The 15,198-nt window shown below is 38.1% G+C and overlaps 1 long non-coding RNA gene across 1 annotated transcript in view; it reads right to left on the bottom strand.

Annotated features, from left to right (window-relative positions):
* Positions 1 to 3,635: 3,635 nt before the first annotated feature.
* Positions 3,636 to 15,198, bottom strand: part of LOC107987008 (uncharacterized) — a 69,179-nt gene continuing 57,616 nt past the window's right edge. Inside the window, exon 5 of the long non-coding RNA XR_001746516.1 lies at positions 3,636 to 5,343. This is a non-coding gene — a long non-coding RNA (uncharacterized LOC107987008). The remainder of the gene's footprint in view (positions 5,344 to 15,198) is intronic.

Below are 15,198 nucleotides of genomic sequence, written 5' to 3'. Positions count from 1 at the left end.
AATAGTATTATTGCAGCCTTCCATGCTGCAGCAAGAGTAACAGGAGACAAGCTAAAGCAGTGAAGCAACCATCATAGTCAGGGACTATAGCTCTGCTCGCTGTCTACCAGCAGAACCCCAGCATCTGATGGTCCCTTTCTTGTCTCCATTCAGAAGAAAGAGAGCAGCAGGTCACAAGTGCAGACATGCAGGCAAGGTAGGACAGTATGAAGCTAATAATCACTGTAGCTCATCTCTACTGATACGTGTCTTTTTGACTTAGGTAATAAATTATCCAGTTTAAGTGATAAGTGGTTGGGATTGCTAATCGATAATTTTTTTGTTTTTTCAGCTGACACATGGGTGGAAAATGATGATAAATAAACCCCCAGGGTTCGAGGGGAACAGCCAATCATTATTAAAGCTTGGACCTAATCTCAGATGCTAGGCCACAAATCTGAAGCAAATACCAACAGCAGAGTTATTATGGTCAAAGAAATATTTTTATCTCCAGCATTCAAGGCGCTCTTAGGACTGGTGAATTTTGTTTGCTGAAAGACCTCTTCCCACCAAAAGCAGTCGCCAAACTGAAACTCACAAAAATAGTCTTGCACATGCCACACCAGTATCAGAGGCAACATCTTCCTTTACATACTCAGGATCATAAATGGCATTTATAAAAACATATATGAATGTAAGAAAACATACATGTTATGAATATCCCTGTTAACAAAGGTAGCTCAGTGGATCGGAAAACATTGGTTCCATTTTCACAGAATCCAGATAACGTCACACAAAATGTTCAATGGCCCATCTCTTCATCATCTTTTTGCTTTATAATGTGTTTTAGTTTGGTTTAATTCTGCTTGACAATGAGGATTCATTCTCATTCTCATCTGTGCACTTGTGCCTGTCATACAGTCTAGAGAGCCAGTGCCTGCCTTTCCCAGAGTTCCCTTCCTCTAGGGTTCTCAGTGCAACCTGACATCTCTCGATGTCAACGAGATAGACTTGCCTGAGATGTAAAAGCACACACAACACTATTCTCCCTCCTCCCACAGCAAGGAACAGAATTGCTGTCTTCAGCAGCCTCTGGGTATTGCCTGTGTCGCCTGTCTCCGCAGTTCTGATGCAAGGTAGCTGGAGTCCACTGTGATTCCCTGCAATATTCTCTCCTGGGCAGCAGCAGCAGCTTCTTGGACCACAGTAACAGTGGCCACCCTGAACAAGAGTGGCAGCCTTCCCTAGCTTTCCCACTCCAGTCCTATCAATAAACACATAACCACAAATATAATCCCTTTCTGCTTGAAATATTTAGAATGCTTTCTATTTTCTGGGCAAACCTGACTAGTATATGATATACCGTCTACTCCCATGACTCAGAAAATGAGCAAGAGAACATTAATGTTTTGTTTTTTAAATCCTCATTTTTAAAAAAGCACAAAGTTAATACCCACTGAAGATGAGTTAATACACACAGTGTTCTTTACACAGAATAATACATGTGCTTTGAATCATCCACTAAAGTTCACATTTTTAAGATGTGAAACCTTGCAATATATATAACACAAATCAGAATCACTGCTGCCCTATTTTAACTCTATTCGTAACATTTATTTTGTGCTTTTTAAACTTCTGACATTTAAAATGTAGTTAATACCGTAAACCCACATGAGTGAGAAAGGAGATTGGGGTTTCCTCATCTGAAAACTTAGTACTTCAGCTCAGTGGTCCTTAGCCTTGGTATATAATATTTCCCTTGGCTGCTTTAAAAAAATGTAGGGGTGGCCAGGCGCAGTGGCTCACACCTGTAATACCAGCACTTTGGGAGGCTGAGGCGAGGGGATTGCCTGAAGTCAGAGTTTGAGACGAGTCTGGCCAACATGGTGAAATCCCGTCTCTACTGAAAATACAAAAATTAGCCGGTCGTGGTGGCAGGCACCTGTAATCCCACCTGCTCTGGAGGCCGAGACAGGAGAATCACTTGAACCCGGGACGTGGGGGTTGCAGTGAGCTGAGATCGCGCCACTGCACTCCAGCCTGGGCAACAGAGTAAGTGTCCATCTAAAAAAAAAAAATGTAGGGATGATTTTAACCCAAGAACAATTAAATCAATCACTGGGGATAATAGGTTGGCCGTTATAAAGGCAGCCCAGGTGTTACTAATGCATTGCCGAGACTGGGAACCACCGCTAACACCAGGGCATCTGCAAAGGACCTTGCCTACCTGGAGACCAGAGGACTTGGACTAAGTGATATCCGCTCCTACCTATCACGTCTACAGTTTTATGGCATATCACTAGCTGCTCTCTTCTAAGGCTACGTAAGATGAAGGGAATAATGAGCATGTTTGCAACTGAGCCAATGTATTGCCAGCTCTAGAAGAAGAGTATCGAGTGAAAACTTTTTTTTTTTTTTAAGACGGAGTCTCGCTCTGTCGCCAGGCTGGAGTGCAGTGGCGTAATCTCAGCTTACTGCAACCTCTGCCTCCTGGGTTCAAGCAATTCTTCTGCCTCAGCCTCCAGAGTAGCTGGGATTACAGGCCCACGTCACCACCCCCCACTAATTTTTGTATTTTTAATAGAGATGGGGTTTTGTCATATTGGCCAGGCTGGTCTCGAATTCCTGACCTTAAGTGATCTGCCCCCGTCAGCCTCCCAAAATGTTGGGATTACAGGTGTGAGCCACTGCGCCAGGCCAACTTTTTTTTTTTTAACGCCAAAGAAAATATATGCAGGCAACCAAAAACATTGGACTAGAGTTAATGTTAAGCTTAGGATGTCTGCCTTCTGGAAGACTCGCCAGTTAATAATATGCTGTTAGAGAGCCTTAAAATGAGCCTTTTCAAGAGGTTTGGCATAGTTATGATATGAGCCAACTTAGAAATTGTTTAAGACAAAAGGTCATCAAGTGGGACTATCAGAACTGAATTTACAACAGAATTAACTTTTTTTCACTGAGGTTACCTCCGGTTATCCCCCAAAAATGTGACTTTATAAATACATGTGGGTGTTCTAGCTCTGAAGATTATTACTAGACAGCTCTGTTTTGTATTATTAATCTTTTGTTAACTCTAAAACTTACCTGTTTGTTACTCAACAGACAAAATAAATATACACTGCCAATGGGGTAGTTTGTAGTGACCCAAAAGGATTTATTGATCTCTGATATGTTTGTTCTATAAGTGTTTCAAGTTTATATACTGATGGTATACAGCATACTAACTTCATTTTAAAGACCAGAAAATATGTTCAGACTGTAGGTAAAATTTTCCATAAAATTGTACCTTTAAAGACATTGATAAGTAAGCATTGGTAAAATTACAGGTAAGTGAAATTAAAATTATGAACCTACTTAGGCACTGCTTGTGTTTTTATCTGTCATCCTAAAGTACGTAAAAAGTCACCCTCCAAAAATCCAATAAACATTTAAGTATAATTATTGAAACAAAAGTTTTCTTTTTGTTTAACTAGAAAGTAATAGGGGCACACTGAATCAACTCGGTTTTTTTTATTTTATTTTTCTCTATTGTGTTGCTCTTTTCAAAGTCATTCATTTCTGATCTTAATTATTGCATTCCTTTTTCTTTGCTATGGTATTTTATTTGTTCCTTCCCGCCTCCCCCCCCGCCCCCCACCAGGTCTTTACTGTAAAACTATACCATTAACTTGAGGACTTTCTTCTTGTCAAGTATAAACATTTAATGATATAAATTTCCCCCTATGCACTGCTTTACCTGCATCTCCCAAATTCTTGTATTTGATGTTTCATTTTCATTCAAAATATATTTTAATTTCCCTTGTGACTTTCTTTTTTGCCTATGGGTTGTACAGAAGTGAGTCATTTCATTTCCAAATATTTGGAGGATTTTTCAGACATCTTTCTGCTATTAATTTCCAGTTTGATTCCACTATAGTAACAGAACATTCTTCATATGATTTCAACCCTTTTAAATTTGTTGAGGTTTGTTTTATGTCCCAGTATCTTGGTAAATGTCCCATGAGCCCTTGAAAAGAATGTGTATTCTGCTATTGCTGAATAGAGCATTCAATAAATACCAAATTTGTCAAGTTGCTTAACAATGTAGTTCTAGTCTACATATTTTACTGATTTTCTGTGCATCTGTTCTATTACTGAGAGAGGAATGCTGCAGTCTCTAAGTGTAGGTTTGTCTATTTTTTCTTTCTGTTCTATCAGTTTTGCTTTATGCATTTTAAAGCTCTGTTGTTAGGTGCATACACGTTTAGTCTTTTTCTTCTTGATGAATTGGCCCTTTTACACTATATGTGGTGGCTTTTTATTTCTGAAGATATTCTTTGTTCTGGAATTTCCTGTTATCTAATACTAATAGAGCAACTGTTTGCATGGCATATATGGTATATTTTTCATCCTTTTACTTTTAACCTGTATACTTTTATATTTAATGTGAATTTATTATAGATAGATTATAGTTGATTCTTGCTTTTTTATCTAATTTGATCATCTCTGTGTTTTAGTTGGTATGTTTAGGTCATTTAAATTAAATACAGCTACTGATACAGTTGGATTTTAATGTACTATCTCATATCTTGTTTTTATTTGTTATATTTGTTCTTTGTTCTTTTTCTAACTGATTTTGAATTATTTTTAATGATTCCATTTAATCTCCATTTTTTGTTTTTTTATCATTTATGCTTCTTTTAAAAATATTTTAGTGGTTCCCTAGGTTTATAATATGCACCTTAAAAAATTGTTTTTCGTAGAGACAGAGTCTCACTTTGTTACCCAGGCTGGTCTCAAATTCCTGGCCTCAAGGGATCCTCCTACCTTGGTATCTCAAAGTGCTTGGATTACAGGGATGAGCCACTATGCCTGACCCATGCATCTGTAATTAATGACACCTTACCTATAAATAATAATATACTGCTTCTCATATTGTATCAGTCATGATTCAACTGAGAAACAGAACCAATAAAAGATTTTATGTTTGTGAATATAGGTGTGGAAAAATTTTTATGATATTTGCTATAGGGCCATGATGTTGTTATAACTGTGGGAGCTGCTTAAAGCAATCTCTGCAGGATGTTGTCTTCATGTCTGATGCTGGAGTTTGAAGTCCACAGCACAGACAGGAAGGAGACATGGATGTAGAGGGTAAGACATCAAAGACAAGCTGTATCCCACAGGCAGGAGCCCCAGAAGATGTACTGAAATCCATCAGTTCTTGTTGTTTGTATCTTGATGCTGTCATGGAGCTAAGTACACAAACTTGGCCTAGACGTCAGAGACGCTGAAAGAGTATTCAGGGAAGGTGGAGCTGTTTCAAAGCCAGCCACTGCTCTTAGCCGATGGTATGTGTCAACAGTCAGCAACAGCATGCGTAACCTACAAGACCAAGAATAGATTAACATTACCAGGGAATAGCAACCTTCTGACGGCCTTCAGAGTCATAATAAACTTCCCGAATGCAGGCTTCTTATTTCATTTCTGGTACTGAAGACAGTGCCTAACTTGTAGATAATACTCAGTGACTTGGACACCCTAAAATACATCACATCCTGCATCTAACTAAGTGGTTTTCCATACATCATCTAACTTGTGAGGTAGCCAGTGCAGGTGCACCCATGCTGCTCTTATACAGGAAAGAATGAACAACTCTGAGCAGTTCAGTGATATGTCCAGGACCAGGCAGGCAAGGGGCAGAGCCAAGGCCAGAGTGCAGAACTCATATCTGCTGACTGTTAGGCAAGCAGGGTGATTCTCAAACTCTGTGTACAACAGAATTATCTACAGATCCATCATTTAATTTAATCAAAACCCACATTTCATGGATTTACCCAAGAATTACTGAGTTCAAATCTCTGGAGGTGGAGGCCATGTAATTGTGATATACACCAAAGTTGAGGACCCCTGTGGCAAGACTTTCAGATAAATTGGAAAGATGACTTGGGGCCACATAGTGGACGACTTGGTCTCTGAGATGGTGGCTTTCAGATGTTGGCACATAAGAATGACCTGGGGCCCTCCCACAGTCACCACACTCTGGTTTTCCGGGACAAGCCAGAAATCTGTATCCTAAGAAAAGTATACCATGTACCACACTCAGTAAACACAGCTCTAAGGAGTTTCTTCCCTTTGGGAAACAGAGGGTTGCTGAATATTTCTTGAGCAAACTTTTTTTTTTGTTCAAGACAGGGTCTCACACTGTCCCCCAGCCTGAAGTACAGTAGTGTGATCACTGCTTACAGCAACCTCAACCTTCCAGGCTCAAGTGATCCTCCCACCTCAGCCTCCCACAGAGCTGGAACTACAGGCATGCACAACCACATCCAGTTATTTTTTTTTTTTTTTTTAGTTTTTGTGGATATGGGGGTCTTGCTATGCTGCCCAGGCTGGTCTCAAACTCCTGGGTTCAAGTGATCCTCCTGCCTCAGCCTCTCAAAGTGCTGGGATTACAGGTGTAAGCCACCACGCCCAACCTATACACATATTTTATATAATGTTTCCATTCTCCAAATATCCAAGCATCTATCATAGAATTTCACAGTGTTAAATGCTTCTAGACATTTTAGTTCTCTCTTAATCTTCATTTGTTTAACCATCAACCAGGTGGGGACACTTTTCATTTTTTTACTGAGGATATAGTCTAGTAATCCAATGGGGAAAAGGGTTCCTCCATAAAAATTATCTTTGTCTCCCTTTGGAGAAAGAGCAAACATTATTATTTTTTAATGCTTTGTTTAAAGTGAATTCAATAATAGTCTTTGTGAAGTCACAGAAAGTACCTTAGAGGCCTCAAAACATTTTGATGATTTCTAAATGTTTTGTTTCTCTCTCTACAGAGAAATCAGATGTTTATACTCACAAAAAACAATCCTATTGTATTGTTTTTGTCCTTGGAGTATTTTTCCTTGGAGAGGACACATGTACACTGTATGGGGAAAGCCTCAGAGGGTACCATCTTGCTTTCTCAAGTTCATTTTTTTTTTTTTTTTTGAGTGCAGTGGTGCGATCTTGGCTCACTGCAACCTCCACCTCCCTGGTTCAAGCAATTCTCCTGCCTCAACTTCCTGAGTAGCTGGGATTACAGGCACCCACCACGATGGCTGGCTAATTTTTTTTTTTGTATTTTTAGTAGAGACGGGGTTTCACCATGTTGGCCAGACTGGTCTCAAACACCTGACTTCAGGCCATCTGCCCACCTCGGCCTCCCAAGTACTGGGATTACAGGCATGAGCCACCGTGCCCAGCCTCTGAAGTTCACTTTCTGAGATTCCTAAGGAATTAATAAAATAAAACCCTGGAAAATAGCCTATGTGTGCCTGAGTGTAAGAAGGAACGCACATGCATGTGCATATGGAGACACAGAATTCCACCAACCCTGCCCTGTCACTCGGTGGGCTCTTGTCACTGTCACACACGTTCAAGAGCTAAGCATGATGCATTCAACGAGAATATGATTAGTCTCGTGCATAAGTCTACAACAATAATGAGCAGCAGACAGAATGACAGTAATAGCAGTTCTTAATTCTCCCATTTATAAGAAAGAAGATTGACTAATGAAGCTGTCTGCCAGTGGCTGCATTGTCTGAATTACTATTAGTTTAGAGGGAATTATGTTAAAAATTTTAATAACATGCAGTATAATAATAACAAAGGTTATTCATCACCAAACAAGCATTTTCAGTGCCAATGAAAGGCCCCTCCACAGCGGCTGCACTGGTGAATCCAAGCAGCCTTTTTCTGTGTGATTGCTCTGCACGGGGTCTTTGGCAACAATGAAGAAACTGGTTAGAGAGAACTAAGTTTGTAGACTCACATTTTTCAAATATAGTAATGTAAATATATTTTCCAATCACATTCCATAAGAGATGATTCATGAAATCAGACAAAAGTAAATTATCACAGGCAAGAGTAGAGCTTCCTTCCTCAGATTGGTGTTACCATAAAACATCTTTGGAGCCTTCTCTAAACGATACCAGCTTTTAGCTCATAATTTATGCTCTTCTCTGGAGTTTTTCTCTAGAGTGGAAGCCACAAATTTCTTTACTTGTGATTTAAGATATAGTTTCTCAATTAAATGGCAAGCTTCTACTGCCACCAAAAGAAATGGTAATTCAATCTACCTTAAACACTCTCATTTCTAAAAATGCTCTAAAAGCTTTGGGTAAGATTAGCACAGTTCCTGAGGCAAAAGCTTAACTTTGTTTCATACCTGTTTAAAAACTGGTAAAAAGTCGTATAGATATACTCTACAAGAAAAGTATTATGAAGAGACCCAGTGAGGAATGCTCAACAATGGAGTTAAAGGGGAAGATGTGTAGTTGTTTAACCCTCTATCTAAGATGTGGTCTGTAGCATGTTTGGGCTTATGCTGTTTGGTTGCAAACTCAGGCGTTGAAGAAAGAGGCTGTAATTTATTAAAGCCCGATAACCCCAACCCATGATGTATTGGTTTCCTGGGGCTTCACTAACAAAGTACCACAAAATGGGTGGCTTAATAACAAAACTGTATTTCCTCACAATGCTGGATACCAGAAGTTCAAAGTGCCGGAGGGCTGGTTCCTTCTGAAGGCTTTGAGGGAGAATCCACTCCATGCCTCTCCCCCAGCCTTTGGCATTGTTTGGCTTGTAGATGGTTTTTCCTCTATCTCTTCACATTGTATTCCCTCTATATATGTCTGTCTCTGGGCCCAGATTTCCCCTTCTTATGAGGACACAGTCATATTGGATTAGAGATCACTCTGATGACCTCATCTTAACTTGATCATCTGCACAGATCCTATTTCCGAAGAAAGTCATATTTACACATCATGAGGGTTAGGACTTCAAACACTTTGGAGGGCAAAATTCAACACATAACATATGCTGATGATCTTGTAGTTTACAGATGATGCTGTAACCTTCTGTTTATTTTTTTATTGAAAAACACATGACAAAGTTTATCGTCTTAATGATTTTTAAATGTATAGTACAGTAGTCTTAACTACTAATGTATGTTGTTGTGCAGTTACTCTCCAGAACCTTTTCATCTCTTGTAAAACTGAAACTATGTACCTACGAAACAACCCCCTTTTCCCTCTCCACCCAGCAATCACCGATCCACTTTTTGTTTCTAAAAGTTTGACTGATTTAGATACCTCATAGAGGTGGAATCATGCAGTATTTGCCTTTTTTGTGACTGGTTTATTTCACTTAGCATAATGTCTGTCCTCAAGGTTTGTTCATTCATGTTGTCATGTGTTTAAGAATTTCTTTCTTTTTTAAGATTAAATAATTTTCCATTGTATGTTTATACCACATTTTCTTAATCAATGGGCATTTAGGTTCCTTCCACCTTTTGGCTACTGGGAATAATGCTGCAATGAATATGGGTGAGCAAATACCTCTTTCAGATAATATTTTCAATTCTTTAAAATGTATACTCAGAAGTGAACTGCTGAAAGTTATGAAAATTCTCCATCATACTGCTTCCCATAGTGACCACACCATGTTACATTCCTGTTAACAGTACAAAAGGGTTCCAATTTCTTCACAACCTTGTCAATAGTTGTTATTTTCTATTTTCCTGATGGTAGCCATCCTAACAGGTGTGAGGTGATATCTCATTGCAGTATTCACCTGCACTTCCAGAATGGTTAGTAATGCTGAACATCTTTTCATATGGTTGTTGGCTCTTTGTATGTCTTTTTTGAGAAATGTTTATTCAAGTTCTTTGCCCATTGTTTAATTGGGTTGCTTCTTTGTTTGTTGTTGAATTGTAGGAGTTCTTTATATATTCTGGCTATTAACCCCTTAACAGATGTATGGTTTGCGAACATTTTATCTCATTCCATAGGTTACCTTTTCACTATGTTGATTGTTTCCTTTGACATGCAGAACATTTTTAAGTTTGATATGGTCCAATTTGTCTATTTTTGCTTTTGTTGCCTGTGCTTTTGGTATAATTACCATAAAATCATATCCAAGTTCAATGCCATAAAGTTTTTCCCCTGTGTTTTCTCTTAGAAGGTTTGTATTTTCGGGTCTTACATTTAGGTCTTTACAGGACTTCCCACACTATGTTGAATAGAAGTGGCAAGAATGGGCATCATATGACAAATATCTGCCCAATCCCTGCAGCCCCCATCCCTGGCAACCACCATTCTATTCTCTATCTCTATGAGTTTGACATTTTTAAGTTCCAGATATAAGTGAGATCATGTGGTGTTTGTCTTTCTGTGTCTGGCTTATTTCACTTAGTATAATGTACTCCAGATTATCCCAGATGACAGGATTTCCTGACTGGACAGAATTTGCTTCTTTTTTCAAGACTAAATTACTATTCCCATTGTGTATATATGTTACATTTGCTTTATTCTGTCATTTGTTGATGGACACTTAGGTTGATTCCAGACCGTGGCTATTGTGAATAACATGCTGCACTGAACATGGGTGTGCACATACCTTTTTGAGATCCTGATTTCAGTTCCTTTGGCTATATACCAAAAAGTGGGACTGCTGAATTATATGGTATTTCTATTTTTAATTTTTTGAGAATTCTTCATACTGGTCTCCATAATTTCTGTACTAAAATTCTCACCAATGTAACAGAATTCTTTTTTTCCGCATCCTCACCAACACTTACCTTTTATCTTTTTGAAAATAGCCATTCTAACTGATGTGAGGTGATATCTCAATGTAGTTTTAATTTGCATTTCATTAATGGTTAGGGTGATGTTGAGGATTTTTTCAAATACCTGTAGGCCATTTATATGTCTTTTTTTGAGAAATGTCTGTTTAGGTCTTTGCTCCTACATATATAGATATAGATATTGATATAGATATATACATATATCTATATATAGAGAGAGAGAGATTTTTTTTTGGAGTCTTGCTCTGTTGCCCAGGCTGGAGTGCAGTGGCGCAATCTTGGCTCACTGCAAGCTCCGCCTCCCAGGTTCACGCCATTCTCCTGCCTCAGCCTCCTGAGTAGCTGGGACTACAGGTGCCCGCCACCATGCCCGGCTAATTTTTTGTATTTTTAGTAGAGACGGGGTTTCATCGTGTTAGTCAGATGGTCTCAATCTCCTGACATCGGGATCCGCCCTCCTCGGCCTCCCAAAGTTCTGGGATTACAGACGTGAGCCGCCACGCCCGGCCAGTCCTTTGCTCCTATTTTTTAATTGGGTTATTTGTTTTCTGGCTATTAAATTGTGTGCTTTTTATATACTCTGTTTATTAACCTCTTATCTTCATGGTTTGCAAATATTTTCTCCCATTCTATAGGGTGCCTCTTCTCTCTCTGATTGTTTCTTTCACTGTGCAGAAGCATTTTATTTTGATGTTATCCCATTTTTTTTCAGTTAAACAGGAGATATATTGTACAACATGGTGAGTATAGTTAATAACAATGTATTGTATACTTGAAAATTGCTAAGAAAGTAAATTTTAAGTGTTCTCATCACCAAAAATAAGTTTTTGAGGTAATGCACATGTTAATTAGTTTGATTTAGCCATTCCACAATCAGTATATTTTTCAAAACATTGTGTTGTACACCATGAATATATATAATTTTTGTCAATTGAAAAATAAATAATCTTTTTAAAAAATAAAAATCTATAAAATTTTTTAAACAGTGGGCATTCTTGCCTGGCTCCTGATCTTAGAAGGGAAAGAATTCAGTTTTTCACTACTGAATATAATATTAGCTGTAGGCTTGTCATATATGGCCTTTACTATGTTAAAATAATTTCTTTCTCTTTCTAGTTTGTTGAGTGTTTTATGATGCAAGTGTGTTTAATTATGTTAAATTCTTTTTCTGTACCAATTGAGATGATCATATATTTTTTGTCCTTAATGTTGTTAATGTGATATCTTACATTAATTGATTTTCATATGCAAATTATCCTTGCATTCCAGAAATAAATCCCATTTGGCCATCACATATTATCCTTTTAACATATAGTTGAATTTGGCTTGCTAGTATTTTTTTAAGTATTTTTCCATTAATACTCATCAGAGATATTGGCTTGTAGTTTTCTTTCCTTGTATCTTTCTCTGATTTTGATATCAGGATAATGTTGGCCTCATAAAACGAATCAGAAATATTCCCTTCCTTTCAACTTTTTGGAAGAATTTGAGAAAGATTAAAAATTCTTTAAATATTTGGTAAAATTCTCCAGTGAAGCTATCAGGCCCTGGTATTTTCTTTATTGAAAGATTTTTGAATACTGCTTCATTCTCCTTATTTGTTACAGGTCTGGTCAGATTGTCAGTCTTGACAGGCTGTATTCTTCTAGAAACTTTCCATTTCTTATATATTACTCAATTTTTTGCCCATAAGTGTTCATAGTAATTTCTTTTTCCTTTTTCTTTTTTTTGGGAAGGAGTCTCGCTCTGTCACCCAGGCTGGACTGCAGTGGTGCGATCTCGGCTCACTGCAAGCTCTGCCTCCCGGGTGCACGCCATTCTCCTGCCTCAGCCTGCCGAGTAGCTGGGACTACAGGCGCCCGCCACGACTCCTGGCTAATTTTTTGTATTTTTAGTAGAGACGAGGTTTCACTGTGTTAGCCAGGATGGTCTTGATCTCCTGACCTCGTGATCCTCCTGCCTCAGCCTCCCAAAATGCTGGGATTACAGGAGTGAGCTACCGCACCCAGCCCAAGTGTTCATAGTAATTTCTTATGATTCTTTTTATTTCTGTAGTATCAGTTGTAATGTTTTCCCTTTCATTTCTGATCTTTGTTATTTGTGTTTTCTCTCTTTTTTCTTAGTCTAGCTAAGGGTTTGTCAATTTTGTGGATTTTTAAAAAAACGCATTTAAAAGTTTTTTTCTATTATTTTTCCGTTCTCTATTTTATATTTTATTTAGTTCTGCCCTAATTTTTATTATGTTCATTCTTCTGCTAGCTTTAGATTTTCTTTTTTTCTTTTTCTTTTTTTTTGGAGACAGAGTCTCACTCTGTCGCCCAGGCTGGAGTGCAGTGGCACAATCTCGGCTCACTACAAGGTCTGCCTGCCGGGTTCACGTCATTCTCCTGCCTCAGCCTCCTGAGTAGCTGGGACTACAGGCACCCGCCACCACGCCTGGCTAATTTTTTTGTATTTTTAGTAGAGACGGAGTTTCATCGTGTTAGCCAGGGTGGTCTCGATCTCTTGACCTTGTGATCCACCCACCTCGGCCTCCCAAAGTGCTGGGATTACAGGCATGAGCCACAGTGCCTGGCCAATTTTTTTCTTTTTTATAGGTCCTTGAGGTGTAAAGCTAGGTTGTTAACTGGAGATCTTTCTTCTTTAATGTAAGCATCTGTCGTTATAAACTTTCCTCTTAGTACTGCTTTTGTTGCATCCCATAAGTTTTGATATGTTGTGCATTTATTTTCATTATCCTCAGGATAATTTTATAATTTCCCTTGTGACTTCTCCTTTGACTTCAGTTGTTTAAGAGTGTGTTGTTTGGCTGGGCGCGGTAGCTCACGCCTGTAATCCCAGCACTTTGGGAGGCTGAGGCGGGTGGATCATGAGGTCAGGAGATCGAGACCATCCTGGCTAACATGGTGAAATCCCGTCTCTACTGAAAATACAAAAAATTAGTGGGACGTGGTGGCAGGCGCCTGTAGTCCCAGCAACTCGGGAGGCTGAGGCAGGAGAATGGCGTGAACCTGGGAGGCGGAGCTTGCAGTGAGCCGAGATTGCGCCACTGCACTCCAGCCTGGGTGACAGAGCGAGACTTTGTCTCAAAAAAAAAGAGTGTGTTGTTTAATTTCCACCTAATTTTGAATTTTTCGATTTTCCTTCTGCTGTTTATTTCTAGTTTCATTCCATTCCATTGTTGTCAGAAAAGATACTTGCTTGGTCTGATTTCAATATCCTTAAATTTGTTCCATGGACATGGAATATGTTCTATGTGCACTTGAGAAGAATGTATGGTCTGCTGTTGTGTGGAGTGTTCCGCAGGTGTCTGTTAGGTCTAATTGGTCTATAGTGTTGTTCAAGTCCTCTGTGTTCATATTAATCCTCTGTCTGGTTGATATATTCATTATCGAAAATAAGGTATTGAAATCTTCTAATATTATTGTGTTCCTGTCTATTCAATTCTACCATTGTTTGCTTCATATATGTCTGTGTTCTGATGTTAGGTGAATATTTATAATTGTATCTTATTTTATTGATCCTGTTGTCATGTATTGTTTTTCCTTGTCCCTTGTGAAAAGTTTTAGAATTATAGTCTATTTCATCTGATATAAGCATCACAACCTCTGCTCTCTTTTGGTTACCATTTGTATGGAATATCTATTTCCATTTTTTCACATTCATTCTGTGTGTGTCCTTAGAGCTAAAGTGAGTCTTTTGTAGACAGCATACGGTTGCATCTTGTTTCTTTTTCAATCCATTCAGCCATTCTGTGTCTTTTGATTGGAGTGTTTAATTCAATTACATTTAAAGTAATTACTGATAGGAAAGAAATTTTACAATCTCCTGCTGTCTTCTCTTGTGATTTTTTTCAGTGACATGTTTGTATTTCTATCTCATTTTTGTACATCTTTTTAAGATATTTTATTTGTAGTTACCATAGAGATTACATTAAACATCTTATAGTGAACTTGATGAACTTACATGAACTTATAATTATGAACTTAACTTCAATCACACACAAAACTTTACTTCTTTACATGTTACCCTACACACACTTTATGTTCTTGGTGCTATCAATTACATTTTTAACTTTATGTATCAATGTATATAGATTTATAGTTTAGTTATTTTCATGCTTTTATATTTTTAACTACACTAGAATTAAAAATTATTTATGCACCACCATCATAGTATTAGAGGATTCTGTGTTTGCTTAAATATTTACCTTCAGCAAAGAGCTTTATATTTTCATATGATTTCATGTTGCTAGCTAATCTTTTCATTTCATTTTGAAACTCCCTTTAGCTATTCTTCTAAGCCTAATCTAGTGGTGATGAAGTCCCTCAGCTTTTGTTTATTTGGGAAGGTCTGTTTATTTTTGAAGGACAGTTTTACAAGATGTAGTATTTTTGCTAGGCAAGATTTTTTTTCTTTCAATACTTTGAATATATCATCCCACTCCCTTCTGACCTGTAATGTTTCTGGTGAGAAATCCACTGATAATCTTATGGAAACTCCCTTGTACATGATGAGTCTGTTTTCTCTTGATGTTTTCAAGAATCTCTCTTTGACTTTTGCTTTTGACCAGTTGGTTATTGTGTGTCTTGGTGTGAGACTCTGAG

Source organism: Homo sapiens, chromosome 9 (assembly GCF_000001405.40).
Source record: "Homo sapiens chromosome 9, GRCh38.p14 Primary Assembly".
Taxonomy (NCBI): domain Eukaryota; kingdom Metazoa; phylum Chordata; class Mammalia; order Primates; family Hominidae; genus Homo; species Homo sapiens.
This window is presented reverse-complemented; position numbering and strand designations above follow the sequence as displayed.